This window comes from Homo sapiens, chromosome 14, assembly GCF_000001405.40.
Source record: "Homo sapiens chromosome 14, GRCh38.p14 Primary Assembly".
NCBI lineage: Eukaryota > Metazoa > Chordata > Mammalia > Primates > Hominidae > Homo > Homo sapiens.
Window position 1 is genome coordinate 95,420,143 of NC_000014.9, and position 17,226 is coordinate 95,437,368.

Below are 17,226 nucleotides of genomic sequence, written 5' to 3' on the forward strand. Positions count from 1 at the left end.
ACCATGAATAAGTACTCTTGGCTGCATGTATTTCAGCAGTGACTTCGGGAGTGGAGGGTGGGGGTGGGTGACACATTGTTTAAGCGGCTGAATGAGTGTGAGTTCACAGAGAAGGTGGTTCTTCCCATAGCTGCTGGGTTGGGTGGGGCCAAATCTCTGACCCATGAGACCCACCCAGGGAGAGAGAAAAGGGGCAAGACAATGAGCTGGAGGGCCACCCAGCCTGGGTTTCCACTGCAACTAACAACCTGTAATTAAGGTTCTCCCAAATGGAGGGTCTGCTTACAAGTGTCCTTTTTTATTTGCCCCTTCATTCTCAGAGTTAACACTTTGCTTATTCAAGAGAGGGGCTGTGCCTTGGCCATGATCCTCTGGGGAAAATGTCTTTGAAGGTCCAAAAAGTGTTTATACATACAAGTGTTGACAAGGGATGGTCTTCTCAAAGGATTCCTGCTGCCTGCCCAGTGCCTGTTTACTTAGACCTCACGTCCTCACTTAGAGGGCCCTGGATTCCAAAATGCTCTTAAAAATAAGACACCTTTCAATATGTTTCCCAAATGCTTAGGAAAACACACACACACACACATACACACACACACAGACACACACATACACACAACCTTCTAAGAAGCCAACAAGAAAAATGACAATCTTGGCTCTTCCAAAGAGAGAAGGGGCTTCCTCAGGAAGTTATAAGCTCCCTATCTGGTATGGTTTGGTTGTGTCCCCACCCAAATCTCATCTTGAATTATAGTTCCTATAATTCCCATGTGTTATGGGAGGGACCCAGTGGGAGATAATTGAATCATGGGGGCAGTTTCCCTCATACTGTTCTCATGGTAGTGAATAAGTCTCGCAAGATCTGATGGTTTTATAAGGGGTTTCCCCTTTCACTTGGCTCCCATTCTCTCTTGTCTGCTGCCATGTAAGATGTGCCTTTCTTCTTCTGCCATAATTGTGAGGCCTCCCCAGCCACGTGGAACTGTGAGTTCATTAAACCTCTTTTTCTTTATAAATTACCCAGTCTCGGGTATGTCTTTATCAGCAGCATGAAAACGGACTAATACATCATCCCTGAAGGTAGGGAAGCAGGGGTTGATGAGCCCATGGGGGTGGGGAGGGAGTATATGTTGTGTAGAGGAGTTAACATACCCAACAGAGGCTCTGACCAAGAGTCCTCCAAGGTCTTACATGATGAATCTGAGACTCCAGATTTCTGGGGATCGCAGGCTAGAGTTCATCACAGTCCATGAGACCTAATCTTCTACCATTGGTGAAAGGGGATGTGGGGGAAATATAAGGTTTGGAGTCTTGGGTTCTAACCCTGACTCTACCACGTCCTAGATGTGTGATCTAGGGCATGTCACTTAGCCTCTCAGAGCCTCAGTTTCTTCTCTGTTGGGAGAGAGTGATACTTGCCTACCAATGTAGGAAGGATAAATGAGGCCACGCATGCTATGCATAAAGTGCACAGTAGGCACCCAATAAAGGCTCACTTCCTTTCTCCTCTGGCTGATGGGTGTGGGGCAGAGAGGCAGCTCCTGCAAGCCCCACAAGCTTCCCCTCTGCCAGGGATGCAGGGATTAGGCACCATCATCACCTCCAGTCCCATCAGGGAAGAAAGCACTGCCCTCCTTAAACGCTATCTCTCAGCTCCTTAAAGACCCTCACGTCCTATCGCCACAGGGCCTTTGCACAGGCTGTCCCGTGTGTCTGGAATGCTCATTGCCCTTCTTTCTCCACTCCACCTGGTTAGCGCTGACTGATCACTCTAATCTCACCCTGAGTCACTTCCTCCAGGAGACCCTCCCTGGCCTTACACATCCTCAGGGCACCCTTTCTTCTGGATCACTGATTAAGATCTGTGCTGCCCTTAACTCCTCGGAGGCGGGGTCCACATTAGTCTTATGCTTTACCGTATCCTCAGCAGTGCTCAGTAAGTATTTGCTGAATGAATGAAACCATGAATATAAGGCTCCTTCCCTCCCTGCACCTCTGGCCATCAGCTTCTCCCTCAATACATCGGAGGCCACCACTGAGACATGGGCCACCTGCTGTCTGCGAGCTGTTCTCACTGTGCCCATGGTTCACCAGGATATCTGGGCTCCACTTGTTAGTGAACTCACTAACTCAGGACCAAAGGTCCTGAGCTCCACTCTTCACCTCACTCAGGGGCCTCCTAGGCACCTTGAGCATCTCTGTGAGGCCGACTTTCCTATGCTCATTTTACAGAGGAAGAAACTGAGTCTGGGAGAGTACCCAGTCCAAGGTCACACAGATAGGCTCAGCTCTCCAGTGTCACTCCAGAGCCCAGGCTCTTCCTACTATCCCACGTGGCATTTCTCACAAGAAACAGCAATTAGAACGACAACAAAAGTCTCTGGGGCCTCTGTTGTTCAACCGGGATCTGTGGAGGATGGGTGTGCTCTGACCTGGGGCCTGGAGGGAGGAAGTCACATCCCATCACCACTGAGGCTAAGGGTCTTAACTGGGACCTGGCCAGGTCTCAGTACCCACTACAAAGATGCTTCCAGGCAGGCACCAAGCGTGGGACGGTGGGAGGAGGCCCACTGAGCCAGCTGCTCTCTGGCATGGAGGGTGCGCCCGCCCCACTGCCTCTCATGAAACCCTCACTGAGCCACGTGTTGGCCTCTGAAGGCCCCTCTGAGCACTACTCAGTCCCTGCTGGCTTCCTCCTCCTGGGTGTCCCCAAGACTCCCAGGAAGGGGGTGTGGCCAGGACCACTGTCTTGCTCTGGCAGTGCCAGCAGGTCTTAGGGCAGCCCTGGTTTCCCGGACTGGGCCCTGCCACTTCTGACTTGGATGTTGTCTTTGCTAAGTTCTGGGCACCAGAAGCACTGAATTACAGCCCTGCGTTCGCTCCCCGTAAGAACTCAGAGGCTCTGGGAATTTCCCACACGTGGACACGATGGCAGTGGCTGGGCAGGGGGCTGGGTTCGTCTTGCCTCCTCACTGGGGTGGCTCTGCGTGGATGTCAGGACACAGAGATGTATTTTTTCAGTTGATTTTGGAGAGGGAGAGGGATGGGACGATCTGAGCTGGCCTGTGGTTTAGCTAATAGGTGAGAAGTGCCCATGGATGTAATGATGGAGTGATATTGTCATTACTCAAGCAAGGACGGAGCCTCATCCAGGAGCGGATGTATGACCATAGGCTTCCTCTCCTCCCGCCACTTCCCTTCTGCACCTTTCCTTATCTGCCATCCCCCTGTGAGCAGGCTCTGCTCCTAGGATGGAGACCAAGGTCAGTGAGGGTCTAGGTTGACTCACAGGCACCTAGTTTGGGAAACTGGGTGATCATGATGCTTTTTGCTGATAGGGGCACGGGGATTTGATGGGCATAGGGATTTGATGGGGATGGGGATTTGATGGGGATGGGGATTTGATGGGCATGGGGATTTGATGGGGATGAGGATTTGGTAGGCATGGGGATTTGATGGGGATGGGGATTTGATGGGGATGGGGATTTGATGGGGATGGGGTTTTGATGGGGATGGGGATTTGATGGGGATGGGGATTTGATGGGGATGAGGATTTGATGGGGATGGGGATTTGATGGGGATGGGGATTTGATGGGGATGGGGATTTGATGGGGATGGGGTTTTGATGGGGATGGGGATTTGATGGGGATGGGGATTTGATGGGGATGAGGATTTGGTAGGCATGGGGATTTGATGGGGATGAGGATTTGATGGGGATGGGGATTTGATGGGGATGGGGTTTTGATGGGGATGGGGATTTGATGGGGATGAGGATTTGATGGGGATGGGGATTTGATGGGGATGGGGATTTGATGGGGATGGGGATTTGATGGGGATGGGGATTTGATGGGCATGGGAGGTCAGCTTTAGATGTGATGAGTGGGAGGTGCCTGTGGGACCCCCAAGGAAACATCTAATGGGCAGTTGAGGTTTTAGGACTGAGGCTAGAAGGAGAGACCTGCATTACAGATGAAGCAAGAGCTCACGCAGTCTGAAGACAGTGCATAACCACAGGCGTGGAAGGAGGTGACAGGGAGAGTCACCTATGAGACGGTGCAGAAAGCCACAGGTGTGAGAGGAGATGCCAAGGAGAAAATGACCCAAGAGACAGTGCATAAACCAGAGGCCTGGAAGGAGATGCCAGGGAGAGCCACCCACCAGATGGTGCATGAACCACAGGCATGGGAGGAGATGCCAGGGAGAGTTACCCATGAGATAGTGTGCAAACCACAGGCTTGGAAGGAGGTGCCAGGGAGAGTGACCCAGGAGAGGGACAGGTCCTGGAGAACCTGAGGATGCCACCCATGAAGAAAGAGGCATTGTATTTCTAGTGCCTCTACCCAGCCCCTACAGGTCACTTATCCATTACAAAAGCAATGGTAGCAACTTCACAGGGAGAAGCCTCTCTAAGGGCGGCCATTCTTAACTGATGGTCAGAGTGAGCACAGCCCATGTGCGACATGCTGACGACATGTGTCTCCTGATAAGAGGCACAAGTAAACCACAGCACCGCTCTGTGACATTCCTGCCAGGAACCTGCCACCAAATCCAATCACAAGGAAACAGCAGGGAAACCCAAACCAAGGGATATTCCACAAACTGTCCGGCCTGTACTCAAAAAGGTCAAGGTCAAGAAGAATTAAGAAAAACCTAGGAACTGGGACAGACTGGAGGAAAACAGAGATGTGGCAATAAATGCAATGTGTGATCTTGGATTGGATCCTGGACTGAGAAAAAAAATCTACCAGTAAGACTGTAAGTGGTACATCTCCAGACAATGGAATATAATTCAGTGGTCAAAAGAAATGAGCTATTGGCCTGGCACAGTGGCTCATGCCTGTAATCCCAGCACTTTGAAAGGCCAAGGCAGGTGGATCACTTGAGGTCAGGAGTTTGAGACCAGCCTGGCCAACATGGTGAAACCCCAACTCTACTAAAAATACAAAAAAACAAATTAGCCTGGTGTGATGGTGGGCACCTGTAATTCCAGCTACTCAGGGGGCTGGGGCAGGAGAATCGCTTGAACCTGGGAGATGGAGGTTGCAGTGAGCAGAGATTGCACCACTGCACTCCAGCCTGGGCAACAGAGTGAGACTCCATCAAAAAAAAAAAAGAAAAGAAAAAGAAAAAAGAAATGAGCTGTCAAGCCACAAAGACACTGAGGAACCTTAAATGCATGTTGACAGGTAAAAGAAGTCAGTCTGAAAGGCTGCATAGTGTATGAATCCAGCCATAGGACGTCCTAGAAAAGGCAAACCGTGGAGACAGCAGAAAGATGTGTGGTTGCCAGGGCCTGGGGAGAGGTGGGGAGGGATGAGTAGGTGGAGAACGGGATTTTCAGGGCAGTGAAATTCTTCTGCAACATACTTTAGTGGTGGCTACTGGTCATTAGACCTTTGTCCACACCCATAGGTTGTACAATACCAAGAGTTGGCGCTCATGCAAGCTGTGGACTGAGTTAATAACAATGTATCAACTGGTTCATCAGCCTTAGCAAATGGAGCACACTAATGTAAGATGTTAATTAATGGGGAAGATGGAGGAGGCTGGGATGAGAGGAGGTCTATGGGAATACTTTGTACATTCTGCTCAATTTTTCTATAAACCGAAAGCTGCTCAAAAACGAAAGTCTATAAATTCAAAAGAGACTATTGAGACAGCTTAAAATTTTAAAATATGGACTGTGGATTAAATAACAGTATTTTATCAACATTGAGTGTTATCAACACTGACCTAGATAGCTGGCAAACAATAAAACAAAGACAGAAGTATCAGGATAGAGGCAGCTGGAAGAGGAGGCCGTGGTCATCGACCCCAGTGCCCCAGGGCCAAATGTGATAAGAACAGCAGTTCACTGGTCTTAGTGAAGAAGTAGCTACTGGGTACCTCACTGGGGTGAATTTCAGAGGAGTTGTGGGGTGGAAGGTGAGTGACAGAAAGACGAAGAAATAGAAAGAGCAAGTGTAGAGAATGCTTCTCTGGATCTCAGTAGTCAAGGACTAGTTTCAAATACTTCATGACCAAAGTTTTAGCACCAACTTGTTCACAAATCATCAAAGACTGATTGCTTCTGGGCTCTGTAGACGGACGGAGTGGCGAGGCCGTGGGATGACACAGAGCATGGTTTGAAGCCTGTCCCTGGCTCTCCCTTTTAGAGGTCAGAGACTGCATGGCCCTAGCAAAGCCCAGGCCTTTAGTTGTGACCAGGGAAGAAGCAGATTTGACCTGCCCCCGGAGTTCCACAGTAAGTCACAGGGGTAAAAACTCAACCTATGTTGCCCCTCCCAACTCCCATCTGACCCCATCCCACGTGAGAGAGAAGGGGCCAAGGGGCCCAGAAACCATTTCCTCCCACTATAAAAGGAGAAGGTAGTTGTGAGTGTTAAAGACCAAGCACACGTGTTCCCAGCACAGTGCCTGACACACAAGAGGGATTTTTGCAAAAAAAAATCATAATTTTTGTGGGCGGCAAGCCACCCAGGTGCCGAGGAAAGAGACCGAGGGCACGAGCTGTTCCAGTATAATAAAATATATATAATAAGAATAGTTATACTATTGGGAGACCGAGGTGGGTGGATCATGAGATCAGGAGATTGAGACCATCCTGGCTAACACAGTGAAACCACGTCTCTACTAAAAATACAAAAAAAAATTAGCCAGGCGTGGTGGCAGGCGCCTGTAGTCCCAGCTACTTGGGAGGCTGAGGCGGGAGAATGGCGTGAACCCAGGAGGCGGAGCTTGCAGTGATCCAAGATCGCACCACTGCACTCCAGCCTGGGTGACAAAGCAAGACTCCATCTCAAAAAAAAAAAAAAAAAAAGAATAGTTATACTAGATATAGATCTTAGATATGATTATATATGAATATCATTAATCATTAGTTTGTAGCAATTACTCTTTATTCTAATATTATAATAATCCTCGCTCTATAATCATAAGCTAGGAAAAACCAGGCCATACAGAGATAGGAGCTGAGGGGACATAGTGAGAAGTGACCAGAAGACAGAGTGCAAGCCTTCTGTTATGCCCGGACAGGGCCACCAGAGGGCTCCCTGGTCTAGGGGTAACGCCAGTGTCTGGGAAGACGCCCATTGTCAAGCAGACCGTGGTCTAGCGGTAGCTTCAGTGCCAAGGGGAAACACCCGCCACTTAGCAGACTGGGAAACGGAGTCTCCCTTTTCCCAGGGGAGTTTAGAGAAGACTCTACTCCTCCACCTCTTGTGGAGGGCCTGACATCAGTCAGGCCCGCCCGCAGTTATCCGGAGGCCTAACCGTCTCCCTGTGATGCTGTGCTTCAGTGGTCACGCTCCTAGTCCACTTTGATGTTCCATCCTGTACACCTGGCTCTGCCTTCTAGATAGCAGTAGCAAATTAGTGAAAGTACTAAAAGTCTCTGATATGCAGAATTAATGGCATAAGCTGTCCTCTCTCTCTCCCTCTCTCTCCCTCTCTCTCTCTGCCTTGGCTGCCAGGCAGGGAAGAGCCCCCTGTCCAGTGGACATGTGACTCATGTGACCTTGTCAATCATTGGAGATGACTCACACTCCTTACCCTGCCCCTTTTGCCTTGTATCCAATAAATAACAGCACAGCCTGGCATTCGGGGCCACTACCGGTCTCTGTGTCTTGGTGGTAGTGGTCCCCAGGGCCCCAGCTGTCTTTTCTTTTATCTCTTTGTCTTGTGTCTTTATTTCTACAATCTCTCGTCTCCGCATATGGGGAGAAAAACTCACCGACCCTGTGGGGCTGTTCCCTACAAATTTTGAGAGAAAGTTATGATCTAACATGGAATACTCACTGAGATTTGGTATTACAGTAGCTCATTCAATCTAAGACGCTGATTATAAAGTGCACCATTATTTTACAAACCGCTAAGAAAGAAAAGAACAGCAACCAAGATGGTGCATCTGATTGGAAAGCCCACATCAATATGGGGGACCAAGGGAGCTGCACCTTCAATGTAAGGAGAAATGAGAAATAAACCCACCTCACAGAAAGAGGAGGCAAGGAAATTCCAGGTCTTCTGTTGGCAGTGGGTGAAGGATAGGAAATCAAAACTCTTCCTCAAGAGTTTGAACCACACAGGCTGGAGCTCCCCAAGGTTGGCGGTCTCGGTTTACACAATCAGTGTGGTCCAAAGGAAACCCAAATAGAACACAACCCGCAAGCAGACATTTTAATTTAAAGGAATCTCAGGTTGGGGGTGACGGGCAGTAAACCTAAATCTTCACTGGAAGAACTACATTGTAATAAGACACCCGAATTCCAGAGATGTGAAAATGTGAAAAATTATGAGTCTTAAAACCTATGAAACACAGTCAAATAAATAAAATGCTACTGTCAGGTCACACAACATCTGGGTCTATATTCCAAGAGCCCACATATGAAATGGATGGGAGATGCCTGCTCTCTGCTTCTGCAAACTAGCACTGCCCTATTTCACCCTGGCTCACAGAACCTTTGACCAATCCATCCCCAACTAAAAGTTTGTCTCAGGTAGGGCTATGCCGCTTCCCTGGGCCAATGCAAGGAATGCAATATAGTTGACTCACAGCACAACTGCAACTCAAAAAGCAATGCCATTTCACGTGTCTCAATGCTGCAGGCAAACACACCCGCAGCAGTGAGTTGGCAAGTGCCTAGGCAGCTGCAAATTTAATAAATCTTAATTATTCTGTTGATACAAACAAGCAGGCTGAAGCCACTGACGTAGCTGGGGCTTTCAATGACTTGGAGCATGGAGGGAGGAAAAAAAGTGTGGAGAACCAACTGCTCATAAATAATTAGCTTTGGGATAAGTATTTTTCCCCCTTTCCCCTTAGACCAAAAATAATATGTGGAATGTTTTCAAGTTGGCAAGATTACAGCCTCTGAAGACAGCACCTACTTGCTACCTGCCAGGCCTGTGGATGTGCATACGTGCATGCGTGCGCATAACCACACAGGCATACGCCACACTCCAACCCGTGAAGAATCACGCACACACCAAAGCTAAAGGAGGATTTCCCCCTTGGATGTGTCGTTGCTCCCTTCGCTCTCAGAAAGAAAAGCAGGACGGTGTCTGCAGAAGTCTCCCAGGTCCCCATTCACACAGCACTTGAGAACCTACTATGTGCCATGGTTACAACAGGAACTTTGCTACCAGGAGCTGAGTGGACTCGCATTTAAATTTGGAAGACTGCGGCTAAATGACTCACTGAAGGTCACACACGCTAATGGTGGAGCCTGGGTTTGAACCCAGAGTGTAAAGTGGTGGTTCTCAAAGTGTGGTCCCCAGGCCCCCAGCAGCAGCATCACCTGGGATCGTGTTAGAAATGCAGGTTCATGGGCCACCCTAAAACTGATGAATCGAAAACTCTGGAGGTGGGGTCCAGCAATCTATGTTTTATCAAGCTGTCCTATAAATGAGCCACAGATGGTCTCCGTGTAGTGGCCCCCATGTTGTTTACTTCTTCACAGTGGGCTGAGATCCGTTAGCTCAAAAGGCAGCAAGCACCAAAGTCAGATTTTTACACATCCAATTGTTTTAAACATAGCCCAAGTAAGCAGATTCTTTAGTCATTTAGGGCTTTCCGTCTTTGCATACCCCACCAAGCTGTGCCCAACGTCTTCTGGTCATAGACAAGATACACCTCAGGGCTACATGGATCACAAGTGGTGTGACCTTCAGAGCTCTCTGACCCAGAGATTCCCACTGTGCTACTGAGCAACATCAGCTGGACATGTGCGCTCTGGTCCCATCCCCCTCTCTCCACCCAAGCAGGATGTACAGTCTACAGGACAGGTCACTGCTCTTCTGTTCACTGATCTTGGCACAGTCAGAACTAAGGAAGGAAGGAAGGAAGGAAGGAAGGAAGGAAAGAAGGGAGGGAGGGAGGGAGGGTAGAGACAGCAATGAACGCTATGGCTGTGAACATACCACAGTAACACATTAATTACAGGTTGTAGGAACCTGAGGCTGTGCTGGAGGGCTGGTGTTAGCCAGCAAATGTCACTACTCAAAAACATTTAGTGTGCACTTACTATGTGCTAGGCACCATGGCTAGACACCAGGGGGACCAGACTTGACACCCACATGGATCCTGGCCTAGGGGCTGCATAGGTGGGGGCTTCCAACCAGAGAGAGGCTTAAAGTGCAGGAGCTAGAGTCGGTCTGGACACAAGGTCCTAGGTCCCCCGTCTCCCACCAGGACCCACCAGGCTGGCCTGTGTAGAGCACCTGTCCTTTCCTGATGATTTTCCCTTTCTCATGAGAAGTGTGTTTGTTATTCTAAACTGGGGGGTGTTGGGGGCAGGGCTTAAGTGATCAGAAGCATTTCTACTTTCATATACAACAGTTCACACGATCTTCAAAATAAGTTCATGAAGTAAATAAGGTTGCCATTAATAGTTCCATTTTAGGCTGGGTGCAGTGGCTCATGCCTGTAATCCCAGCACTTTGGGAGGCCGAAGAGGGTGGATCACCTGAGGTCAGGAGTTTGAGACTAGCCTGGCCAACATGGTGAAACCCCGTCTCTACTGAAAATACAAAAATTAGCCGGGTGTGGTAGCGCATGCCTGTAATCCCAGCTACTTGGGAGGCTGAGGCAGGAAAATTGCTTGAACCTGGGAGGCAGAGGTTGCAGTGAGCTGAGATTGTGCCATTGCACTCCAGCCTGTGTGACAGGAGACTCTGTCTCAAAGGAAAAAAAAAAAAAAGCTCCATTTTATAGATGGGGAAAGTGAACCCCAAGGGGCCAAACAACTCCCTCGAAGCCACAAAGCCAGTTGGTATTGGGCCCAGAGCCCAGCCTTGATTTTGTGACTGCCCTGCCCAGTCCATTGGTTACCCACTCTCCTATAGATGTTACTTATGACACCAGCCAGAGGCCAAGAAGAAATCACAGATTTCTAGGAAACACAGATTCCAAAGAATGAGAGATCTCAAGGAACTCAGAGCTCCTTGGATCAGAGCATGCCGGAGGAGGCTCGTGTCATTACGGGCCAATGCCTAGCAGGAAAACACAGCATTCATTCCCTTGGAAACAGTGGCACTAGGAGACACCGATTTACACTTGGCTTTTCCAGAAATGGGGAGACACCCCAGGCCCCAGGGAAGTCTTCTCCAAGTCACAACGTGGAAGTTTAACAACATGAGTTTTGGATTCAGAGGCCAGAGACCACTGAGGGGCTGAGGCCTTCCTTGAACAAGTCACTTCAGGCTTGCCCCTTCTGTTTCCTCGCGCTGAAAGTTGAGATTATACTGCCTCCTAGGTGTCACTGGGAGAGTTACAGGAGAGGCCCTAACCACAACTTAGCACAGTTCCTGGCACACACAGTGGATGGCCAATACATAGCATCTCGAGTAATAATCATACCTATTACTCATTGTTGTCGTTATTACTGCTGTTATTGTTATTGCTTCAGCCTGCAAAGACCCTGGGAGTGACTCTGAGCACGGCTCAGTAGGGTAAGTGGAAACACCTGCCTAGTAGAACTCAAAGGCACAATCCCTCCCTCTCCTGTCCCTACCGAGCCCCATAGACTCTCCATCACCAGGGTGGCCACACCGTCCAGTTTGCCCGCAACAACCCAGGTTTCCTGGGACAGTCCCGGTTCACACCTGCTGTCACAGCATAATCATTGGTAGCATCTTTGTCCACTCCCCAGCGTGTCCTGATTTAGGAGGGTGAACTCCAAGATCCCCTCTCTGCTATGTGCCTGTCCCAGCGGAGGACTCTGCACACCCTGCCAGCCTCCCCCCAAGCCTGGGGCTTCTTGAAATCAAGAATCCTGGGGCCCAGCACAGCGCAGCCCAGAGTTGATCCCCCATAAATGTTCTTTGGTCTTCCTGGAACCTTCCAGAAAGCCCACGAGTCTTGCCCCAGTGTCACGGGCCCACCAACCCTCCAGGCACCCTGCCTGCTAGCCGTGTGGAGCAGATGGCAGACACTGTACCTTTTGGAATCCAGTCGGCTCCCCTGGAGAACTTTGTGTCTGTTATTTTAGGGAAGGAGAGGAAAAGGGGGGAAAAAAATAAGTTAAGTGAGTGAAACTTAAATCCCAACAGAGCCTGTAATGGAATATTCGTTTTGTCAGGGGAGTGTTTCTTTAAAACTTCTGGTCATCTGGACAGCCTGAGCCAGCAGATGATTCGATTTAATGAGCTTTTTAACACACTTCAGGCCCAGCTGGGATTCTGTCTGGAAAGGCCGTGGCCAAGGCCGGCGGGGGCCATGGCCAACCTGGCTTGGGCTGGGCTGACACCTAGTGGCCGTCTCGGCTGCTCCCGGGCCAGGAAAGCCTGGGGCGCCCAGCTTGGGGCTGGGGTCTGAGGCTGAAAGGGCCCTTAAGGGCCAGCTCACCACCCTCCTCAGACTTAGGGACCTAGGAAACTTAATGTCCGTGCCTCAGTTTCCTCATTGGTTCACAGGGCATATAACAGCACCTCCTTTAAAGGGCTGTTATAAGGACATAGCATTGAGCAAAGGTTATGATCATTACTAGTTTTGCTATTATTATTATTATTATTATTATTATTATTATTATTATTATTATTTGGTGTGAGGAGACACAGGGGCCCCCGAAAAGGAAGGTGCTTGCTCAACTAAGACACAGGGCAAGTTAGAGACATGGGGCTGGACCCCAGGGCTCCTGATGCCACTCCAGTGCTTCCCCAGGTCACGCCTACAACACACGGGTGTGTCTGCAGGCTGGCTCTGCCACTGACCACCCACGCGGCCTCGGGCAAGGTTTTTCACTGCTTGGAGTCTCAGCTCCCCTCTGCAGTCTGGAGATACAATGACTTGAGCAGAGGGGAACCGTACAGACTGAATGGGACGGTGCACACAGGGCCCTCGGCTTGGGAGATAGGAAGCACTCCTTACACATTAATTATGAGGTCACTGCTGTCCTGACTGGGACTTCAGCCTCATGAGGTGGTTGGATGGCCAAATGGCGTCACCTAAGTGCCCAGAACCCATGAGTGTCCCTGTCCTCTGCCTGAGTGGTCACCACTGTCTGGTGTGTGAATGCACAGGGCAGGGTGGATGCAGGCTTAGCACTGTATCCCCAGGCAAATACGGCCCAGCTATAGTCCTGTCCCTGGAATCTGGGACCTGCACATCCTTGGCACCTACCAGCAGGTGGCCAGAGTCCTTCAGCTTGGACTTGTACAGCATCCACTGGTAGCGCAGATCTTCCAGCTCATCCGAGGTCCCCCTTGCTGGCCCGAGACGAAGGAGGTTCTCAAAGAGATGCTGACCTTCTGGCACCCGAGCCTCCAGCTCCTGGGGGAAACAGCAGCGTCATGGTGCGGCTTCCAAATGGCCCAGACAGCCCCACCTGAATGGTAAGGATGGGTCCATCAAATTTCACTTGACAGACAGGTAGGCAGGGAGGAGGCAGACAGAATCCATAAAGTGGGACTCCCATCTGTGCAATTCAAGCCAAGGCCTAGCCCTTGCTCTCAGGAATGCTACAGGATGGCCTCCTGCATGGAACGGGCAGCTGGGCTGCAGACCTCCAGTGGTCACTTCCAAATATGACATTCCAGGACCAAGTCCTCCAGAGGGCTTGACTAGAGTTCGCATCATTCTAAAAGCTGTCATTGTGAACATGTCTTTCTGTTAGCATTTTGAGCCTGGCAGAATGGTGTTTTAATGTGCAGATTTTTCTCAGGAAATAGAAGTACTGTGTTCCCTTGGGATGGAAACTTTTATTCTCAGGACTCCTGAGAGGTGGTGTGATGGGGCAGTAGGAGCGGGGCTATAAATCCGGGAGCCCAGTTTTAAATCCTGGCTTTGGATCCTGGCTCTGCCCCATTCTACTAGCATGTAATATGGGACACCTTGCTTAGCTTCTCAGAGCCCACAGGAATGTATGCTGTACAAAAAGCAAGGGGGTTTAACTTGAGGAACGGAAAGTCATTTCTGATATGGCTGGAGTTGGGTGGTGGTGCGGTGGGGGGAATGAGAGGAGTAGCCAGATATGAGACAGGAGAGGCAGGCAAGGAAGATTTCCAGGTAATGGCCAACTAGATAATTGGGACCAAACCTCCCACTAAGGACAAAATATTTAAAGCATTTTAAAGGCATAAAAGTATTAACAAAAGAATGTGAGGCACACCGGGCCACAACTTGGGAAAGAATGAAAACCCAGGGCAGTCAGTGCTGTGTTCAGATCTGCTTTTGCCCACAGAACATTTGCCAATTTGGAAGGAATAGCTGTAAAACATCTTTGCTTTTGGCAGCCTCACTGGGCTGGGGAGACAAAGGCCAAAGTCTGGGGCCTGCAGAGGTAGAGATTCTGATAGGGTTCATTCACCCTTTTGCTGAGCTCCTAAAGCCTTCACCCTATTAAAAATGAACCAGAAGTAAACCTGGACCTTGTGTAGACTTGCAGCCCAGTTCAAAGTCATCTTAGTAGACCAGGGAAACTCAAGCCTTGAACTTGGATTTAGTGGTCCCAGAATGAAAGGTCCCTACTCGCCTGGCAGTAGCAAATAAAATCAACTCTGGAGGAAAAGATTATCCTAAATCTTTTTTTTCTTTTTGAGACAGAGTTTCGCTCTTGTTGCCCAGGCTGGAGTGCAATGGCGCGATCTCGGCTCACCGCAACCTCTGCCTCCCAGGTTCAAGCAATTCTCCTGCCTTAGCCTCCCGAATAGCTGGGATTACAGGCATGCACCACCATGCCCAGCTAATTTTGTATTTTCAGTAGAAACGTGGTTTCTCCATGTTGAGGCTGGTCTCGAACTCCTGACCTCAGGTGATCCACCCGCCTCAGCCTCCCAAAGTGCGGGGATTACAGGCGTGAGCCACCGTGCCCTGCCTATCCTAAATCTTAAATCCCTCTTATACATATTTTGGCAAACACAATGTCTAGCACACAAAGCAGCCACATGAAGACACAAGAAACCAAGAGTAAGAACAGGCAGAAATAATATACAACAGAAACATTCATAAAATGCCTTGAGATGTTAGAATTATTAGATACAATCTGTAAAAAGCTATGTTTACTATGTTCAAATAATTAAAAGATAGGTTTAAAAATTTCAGCAAGTATCTGGAAGGTATGAAAAATGATAGAGTTTCAGTTAAGACAGGAGCTATAAAATAAGAAAAAAAAAAGATAAGAAAAATGATAGAGTAGATTATTAAAAGCACCAAATAGAAGTTCTAGAACTGATAACTGCAACAACCAAAGTTAAGAACTCAGTAGACACGTGTAACAGAAGATGAAACACAGCTAAAGAGAGAATTAGTAAACTGAAAGATGAATCAGAAAAACTATCCAGAATGCAAAACGAAGAGAGAAAAGGATGAAAAATACACAGGAGAGAGTAAGAGACATAAAGCACACAGTGAGAAGTAGTTACATATGTTTAAATGATATCACAGTAGGAGAGGAGAAAGGGAACAAGGCAGAGGTGATATTTTAAGAAAGATTGTTAGTAGAAAAAAATACAAGTAACAAGTTTGGGAATTAAGAGAAAAAAAAATAAGGTTAGAGAGTTTTCCAGAAAGATCCTAGACCACAGATTCGGGAGTTAAAATGAATCCCAACCCAGATAAATAAAAAGAAATTCAAACCTAAACATATCATGGTAAGATTGCATAAAAATAGGGAAACAGAAGTGAGCTAGGGCCTGGTTGAGAATGGCCTTGAATAATAAACTCAGGGGTTAAACTCTATAGTGAAAGGTTTTCATTAGGGGGAGGACAGGGTCATATTTGTTATTCTGGCTGCAGGATGAGCCATGACCTAGATGGGACCCAACAGGAAGAAAGGAGGATCAGCTGGGAGGCTACAGCCATAGTCAAGGCCAAAAATGGTAAGTGCCTAAATTAAGACAATGGTAGTGCGAGGGAAGAGAAACACAAAATATCTAGGAGGTGGAATCAAGGAGCTTTAGCAACTGATTAGATGTGGGAGTGAAGAAGACAGGAGAGAAGTAGTAGTTCAGTTGCAAAAATGGCTGTGACTTTCCCCATCTCCCTCCCCCCAGCCATATCCATACCCACTGCAATATGACTTTGCCATCCCTTCCATCAAGTAGTGGAGTCTCTTTCCCTTTCCTTGACTCTAGGCTGGTTTTGGCAAACAGAATGCAGGGGAATTAATGTTATGCTGGCTCCTAGTCTTGACCTCAAAAGTCCTTGCCTGCTGCTATTGCTCTTTTCTGCCCTGCCTCTGCTATGAGAAGTCCAAGCTGTGCCACAGGAGTATACGAGATGTGTAGTCCATGTCATTCTCATCTCTAATAGCCCACCAGCCCCTAGAAGTAGAGACACCCAACTGACCTACAACTGACAGCAGACGGACTGGAGGCACTGCCCGGTTGAGTTCAGCCTAACCTGCCATGCTTCTGAACCATGGGTTAAATACATAGTTATTGTTATCAGCCACAAACTGTTGGGATGGTGTGTCACACAGCAATAGCTAAGTGACAGGAGTCAAGTGATTAGTGGTGATATTTTCCAAGTAGGGAACTACATAAGCATGCTGAACACACGAATGAATGCCAGAAAAAGTTCTAAAATCTTTGAACCAAAAAAGTTTAAAAGCGATTATCTATACACAAGGGAGAACAGCTCACAAACTGTGGGTGTGTTCCTTCTTTTGAAGAACTCCCTGGTGGCAAATGCCTCTGTGGGTGCAAACCTTATGGATGAGGGACCTTTCCTGGGGAACAGACCTGCAGCTTCGATTTTCTGGTCCTCAAGTCCTCAGCTGTAGAAGTTCTCATTGCGATGATTCTAACCAGCTTGGAGTTTTCCACCTGCAACCACTGCCCAAAGTTCCTCAGGAGCTGGGAGAAATCTTCATGGCTCCCTTCTTCTTCCTGTAGAAGATTTGCCTGTAGGATCACACACGGCCAAAGCGTCAGAGGTGAAAGAGCCCCCCTGGCCATGTGTCCTGGGAATTCCACCTGAGGCAGAGGGGCAGGGACCAGGACAAGATGCCCAAAATGGCGACGGGAGAGGCCTGGGGGATGAACAATGAATCTCTACTCAACATGGTCACATTTAAGGGCCAAGAACATTCCTCACTGTCCCCTTTCTGGTCCCCTGAGAGGTGACGGAAGCCACCACCATCTCTTACCAGGATGGCTATACAAATAGTCACCCTTCCACCATGCTTGCCCCCTCGGGGCTCCATGACCGGAGTGCTCTGTCTATGATGCAAGCCCATTCAGCTAACTTCTTGGTTATCCACATTGGTGCCTCTCACTACTCCCCAGTGT

General features: G+C 48.7%; 1 protein-coding gene across 2 annotated transcripts in view, besides 2 other annotated features; it reads right to left on the reverse strand.

Annotated features, from left to right (window-relative positions):
* Positions 1 to 17,226, reverse strand: part of SYNE3 (spectrin repeat containing nuclear envelope family member 3) — a 109,385-nt gene that overhangs the window by 12,877 nt on the left and 79,282 nt on the right. Inside the window, exons 15-17 of one of the 2 annotated variants that reach the window (NM_001363692.2) lie at positions 16,678 to 16,824; positions 13,118 to 13,267; positions 11,937 to 11,975 (exon numbers count right to left, since the gene is read on the reverse strand). In NM_001363692.2, coding sequence (NP_001350621.1) covers positions 11,937 to 11,975; positions 13,118 to 13,267; positions 16,678 to 16,824 — 336 coding nt within the window. Of the gene's footprint in view, positions 1 to 11,936; positions 11,976 to 13,117; positions 13,268 to 16,677; positions 16,840 to 17,226 lie in introns of both variants that reach the window. The other variant, NM_152592.6, reaches the window with a different exon arrangement.
* Positions 7,264 to 7,333: an enhancer, noted in NCBI's record as "active region_8957". NCBI's record gives its function as "activates an Ori minimal core promoter by ATAC-STARR-seq in GM12878 lymphoblastoid cells {active_cell/tissue: GM12878}" and the evidence as "EXISTENCE:reporter gene assay evidence [ECO:0000049][PMID:35858748]".
* Positions 11,332 to 11,471: an enhancer, noted in NCBI's record as "active region_8958". NCBI's record gives its function as "activates an Ori minimal core promoter by ATAC-STARR-seq in GM12878 lymphoblastoid cells {active_cell/tissue: GM12878}" and the evidence as "EXISTENCE:reporter gene assay evidence [ECO:0000049][PMID:35858748]".